The sequence below is a fragment of the Homo sapiens genome, chromosome 4, assembly GCF_000001405.40.
Source record: "Homo sapiens chromosome 4, GRCh38.p14 Primary Assembly".
NCBI lineage: Eukaryota > Metazoa > Chordata > Mammalia > Primates > Hominidae > Homo > Homo sapiens.
The window spans coordinates 43,893,575-43,899,662 of record NC_000004.12 but is presented as its reverse complement, the minus strand read 5'-3'; the positions used below and the strand labels follow the sequence as shown (position 1 = coordinate 43,899,662).

At 39.5% G+C, this 6,088-nt stretch overlaps 1 pseudogene; it reads right to left on the bottom strand.

The window, feature by feature from the left end:
* NDUFB4P12 (NADH:ubiquinone oxidoreductase subunit B4 pseudogene 12) lies at nucleotides 260-725 on the bottom strand (annotated as a pseudogene).

Sequence of the window (6,088 nt, the reverse complement as noted above, 5' to 3'; positions counted from 1 at the left end):
AAATAAATAAATTTTTGCGAACTTATTAGAAGAGTGCCTGGCATACATAGGTACTACAGCATTGCTTGAAAATAATCAATCTGTGTTTGCTTCTATTCATCATAAGTTAATATAAATTGGAAAGTTAAATCAAACCACCGCCTTTTAAAAATATACTAATTAATTAGGGGAATTCATTATAGATACAATTTTTGTCACTTATACTCACCTGTGTACTATAGAGAACCCTGGAGAGTAATATTTCTTTTCTTTTTTTTTTATTAATAGTCAATTTATTTATGCAGGGATACATATAGTCATCATTGCCAGACTTAATATGATAGGTGAACTGTTCGATCCAATTTTCCTTCCTGCATAAGTTTTTCTTTCCTATCCCTCTCAGTTTTGATAATATAATAAATGAAGATGAGGGGCCCAAATCCACACAGAGCTCCCATGAGTGAGTTTTTAGGAGTGGGTCTGAAATTAGGATAGACATTTGTTGTTCTTGCATAGGCCCAACGAATCAAGGCAGGATTTTCGATGAGCCCTTGGCGGTTGGGATCATTGTACTGAAGCAGGTACTCTCGTTTCAGCCGGGCTCTTATGGCCAACCGCTCGGCTTGCACCCGCTGGGTTTCCAGAGATATGTTGTATTCGGCTGGGTCGAGGGTCTCAGGCACAGTGGCCAGGCTCGACGGCTTATACTATGGGAACAACATCTTGGCGACCCAGGGCACAATTGCGCCTGCACGATTCTGAGGCCCTTAGAAATATATAATATTTCTATTATATAACATTTAAGATCAGGCAGAAATAACTGTTAAGTTAATTTAGGCTAACAATCAAGATACTACTCTGTATTGTGAAATGAATATGTCTCTGTAATAGAGAAAAATATTAGATTTGTGATAGATGTCTACAAATTGAAGAATTCAGTAGTGATTGGCAATTCTAGGGAGCCAAATTCAATTCAATATAAGTTTTATCTTCTTTAAGAAGTTAGTGTCCAGTGCTGGAATGGGTCTCCTTAACAGGTCACGAGCTTGCCCTCATTAAAGGTAAGCAAATATGTCCTACCTTTTTTGTAGCTTTTATTGTAGAGTCCATTCAAAAATCTGTTGGCGAATAGGTTCAATACAGTTTTTAATCTTTTCTATCCCAGAATAATATGATACATGTCCATTTCCTTCAAATTTAAAGAAGTCATACCTTTTCAAGAGAAACCAAAATGAAGCCAAATAACTATGTTTGCTAAAGGAATTGAATCTAAACCTAATCCTTATGGATTCATGTCACAGAAATCTCTCTTCTGCTTTTTTTTTTTTTTATTTTTGAGTGATCTGAACTCCAGTGTAAGGCAAAGGAAGCATTTAGAAATTTTAAAAAGACAGCTGTGTCAGTTAAATCCTGCTACTTACCAGTGAAGACTTTTCCTTCTTATGCTTTGCTGAATTCCTAAACATGCCTCACATTACACTGCTGTAGTGATTTAAACCTGTTTCTCTGTGACATGCAAGTAAGAAAAGCCCTTTATTTTTTCTTTAAACTAAGCTCCTTATGGGGTGAAAAAGCTCCCACAGTTTTAATTTTCTTGTCTTCGTTTACATAGAGTCATAATCTGCCTGCAGACTTGTACGCGTCACATGGCTTGCAGAAATAGAAAGATGATAAAAGTAGCTTTATGTTGAGCCACTAACCAGTAATTTCAATGAAATATCATGAAAACCTCCTTTTCTGTTGCTTTTACTTATCCTATCGAATTTTGTGTTGAAGATCTGGTGACAATAGATAATTTACAAATAGATATGAAATATTAAATAAATAAAATATACTTATCCATTAAAATGATTAGTAACATCCAAATACATGAATAATTTTAGCAAGATATCAGCCTCAGCAACAATAACCAAAAACAATTATAAGAAAATTAAAAAGTGAAAAACATGAAGGGCTGTAGGGGAAAAAAAGTAACATATTTTCTCACCCATCATTAGGTTCACAGCTCAGACTTCTATTAAGAAAAGACAAATTAGAGAGTTTCCAAGATGGCTGAATAGGAACAGCTCCAGTCTACAGCTCTCAGTGTAAGTAACGCAGAAGATGGGTGATTTCTGCATTTCCAACTGAGGTACCAGGTTCATCTCACTGGGGCTTGTCGGACAGTGGGTGCAGGACAGTGGGTGCAGCCCATGGAGAATGAGCAGAAGCAGGGTAAGGCATCACCTCACCCAGGAAGTGCAAGGGGTCAGGGAATTCCTTTTCCTAGCCAAGGGAAGCTGTGACAGACGGCACCTGGAAAATCAGGTCACTCCCACCCTAATACTGCGCTTTTCCAACAGTCTTAGTGAATGGCTCATCAGGAGATTATATCCCACGCGTGGCTTGGAGGGTCCCACACCCATGGAGCCTCCCTCATTGCTAGCACAGCAGTCTGAGATGGAACTGCAAGGCGGCAGCAAGACTGGACGAGGGGCGTCCACCATTGCTGACGCTTGAGTAGGTAAACAAAGCAGCCAGGAAGTTGAACTGGGTGGAGCCCACCACAGCTCAAGGAGGCCTGACTGCCTCTGTAGACTCCACCTCTGGGGGCAGGGCATAGCTGAACAAAAGGCAGCAGAAACTTCTGCAGACTTAAATATCCCTGTCCGACAGCTGTGAAGAGAGTAGTGGTTCTCCCAGCTCGGAGTTTGAGATCTGAGAATGGACAGACTGCTTCCTCAAGTGGGTCCTTGACCCCCGAGTAGCCTAACTGGGAGGCACCCCAAGTAGGGGCAGACTGACACCTCACACCACTGGGTACTCCTCTGAGACAAAACTTCCAGAGGAATGATCAGGCAGCAGCATTTGCAGTTCACCAATATCCACTGTTCTGCAGCCACCACTGCTGATACCCAGGCAAACAGGGTCTGGAGTGGACCTCCGGCAAACTCCAACAGACCTGCAGCTGAGGGTCCTGACTGTTAGAAGGAAAACTAACAAACAGAAAGGACACCCACACCAAAACCCCATCTGTACGTCACCATCATCAAAGACCAAGGTAGATAAAACCACAAAGATGGGGAGAAACCAGAGCAGAAAAGCTGAAAATTCTAAAAATCAGAACGCCTCTTCTCCTCCAAAGGAACACAGCTCCTTGCCAGCAATGGAACAAAGCTGGACAGAGAATGACTTTGACGATTTGAGAGAAAAAGGCTTCAGATGATCAGTAATAACAAACTTCTCTGAGCTAAAGGAGGATGTTCAAACCCATCACAAAGAAGCTAAAAACCTTGAAAAAAGATTAGACGAATGGCTAACTAGAATAAGCAGCATAGAGAAGACCTTAAATGACCTGATGGAGCTGAAAACCATGACATGAGAAGTACGTGACACATGCACATGCTTCAGTAGCTGAATCAATCAACTGGAAGAAAGGGTATCAGTTATTGAAGATCAAATGAATGAAATAAAGTGAGAAGAGAAGTTTAGAGAAAAAAGAATAAAAAGAAATGAACAAAGCCTCCAAGAAATATGGGAATATGTGAAAAAACCAAATCTACGTCTGATTGGTGTACCTGAAAGTGACGGGGAGAATGGAACCAAGTTGGAAAACACTCTGCAGGATATTATCCAGGAGAACTTCCCCACCTAGCAAGGGAGGCCAACATTCAAATTCAGGAAGTGCAGAGAACGCCACAAAGATACTCCTCGAGAAGAGCAACTCCAAGACAAATAATTGTCAGATTCACCAAAGTTGAAATGAAGGAAAAAATGTTAAGGGCAGTCAGAGAGAAAGGTCGGGTTACCCACAAAGGGAAGCCCATCACACTAACAGCGGATGTCTCAGCAGAAACTCTACAAGCCAGAAGACAGTGGGGGCCAATACTCAACATTCTTAAAGAAAAGAATTTTCAACCCAGAATTTCATATCCAGCCAAACTAAGCTTCATAACTGAAGGAGAAATAAAATACTTTACAGACAAGCAAATGCTGAGAGATTTTGTCACCACCAGGCCTGCCTTACAAGAGCTCCTGAAGGAAGCAGTAAACATGGAAAGGAACAACTGGTACCAGCCACTGCAAAAACATGCCAAATTGTAAAGACCATCGATGCTAGGAAGAAACTGCATCAACTAATAAGCAAAAAAACCAGCTAACATCATAATGACAGGATCAAATTCACACATAAAAATATTAACCTTAAATGTAAATGTGCTAAATGCTCCAATTAAAAGACACAGACTGGCAAATTGGATAAAGAGTCAAGACCCATCAGTGTGCTGTGTTCAGGAGACACATCTCACATGCAGAGACACACATAGGCTCAAAATAAAGGGATGGAGGAAAATCTACCAAGCAAGTGGAAAACACAAAAAAGCAGGGGTTGCAAACCTAGTCTCTGATAAAACAGACTTTAAACCAACAAAGATCAAAAGAGACAAAGAAGGCCATTACATAATGGTAAAAGGATCAATTCACCAAGAAGAGCTAACTATCCTAAATATATATGCACCTAATATAGGAGCACCCAGATTCATAAAGCAATTCCTTAGAGACCTACAAAGAGACTTAAACTCCCACACAATAATAATGGGAGACTTTAACATTCCACTGTCAACATTGGACAGATCAACAAGACAGAAAGTTAACAAGGATATCCAAGACTTGAACTCAGCTCTGCACCTAGTGGACCTAATATACATCTACAGAACTCTCCACCCCAAATTGACAGAATATACATTCTTCTCAGCACCACTTCACACTTATTCCAAAACTGACCGCATAGTTGGAAGTAAAAGCACTCCTCAGCAAATGTAGAAGAACAAAAATTATAACAAACTGTCTCTCAGACCACAGTGCAATTAAACTAGAACTCAGGATTAAGTAACTCACTCAAAACCACTCAACTACATGGAAACTGAACAACCTGCTCCTGAATGACTTGGGTACATAACGAAATGAAGGCAGAAATAAAGATGTTCTTTGAAACCAATGAGAACAAAGACACAACATACCAGAATCTCTGAGACACATTTAAAGCAGTGTGTAGAGGGAAATTTATGGCACTAAATGCCCACAAGAGAAAGCAGGAAAGATCTAAAATTGATACCCTAACATCACAATTAAAAGAACAAGAGAAGCAAGAGCAAACACATTCAAAAGCTAGCAGAAGGCAAGAAATAATTAAGATCAGAGCAGAACTGAAGGAGATAGAGACAGAAGAAACCCTTCAAAAATCATGAATCCAGGAGCTGGTTTTTTGAAAAGATAGACAAAATTGATAGACTGCTAGCAAGAGTAATAAAGAAGAAAAGAGAGAAGAATCAAATAGATGCAATAAAAAATGATAAATGGGATATCACCACTGATCCCACAGAAATACAAACTACCATCAGAGAATACTATAAACACCTCTACACAAATAAACTAGAAAATCTAGAAGGAATGGATAAATTCCTGGACATATACACCCTCCCAAGACTAAACCAGGAAGAAGTTGAATCCCTGAATAGAACAATAACAGGCTCTGAAATTGAGGAAATAATTAATAGCCTACCAACCAAAAAAAGTCCAGGACCAGACAGATTCACAGCCAAATTCTACAAGAGGTACAAATAGGAGTTGGTACCATTCCTTCTGAAACTATTCCAATCAACAGAAAAAGAGGGAATCCTCCCTAACTCATTTTATGAGGCCAACATTATCCTGATACCAAAGCCTGGCAGAGACATAACAAAAAAAGAGAATTTTAGACCAATATCCCTGATGAACATCAATGCAAAAATCCTCAATAAAATACTGGCAAACCGAATCCAGCAGCATATCAAAAAGCTTATCCACCATGATCAAGTGGGCTTCATCCCTGGGATGCAAGGCTGGTTCAACAAATCAATAAATGTAATCCATCATATATACAGAACCAAAGAATAGAACCACATGATTATCTCAATAGATGCAGAAAAAGGCCTTTGACAAAATGTAACAGCCCTTCATGCTAAAAACTCTCAATAAATTAGGTATTGACGGGATGTATCTCAAAATAATAAGAGCTATTTATGACAAACCCACAGCCAATATCATACTGAATGGGCAAAAACTGGAAGCATTCCCTTTGAAAACCAGCATA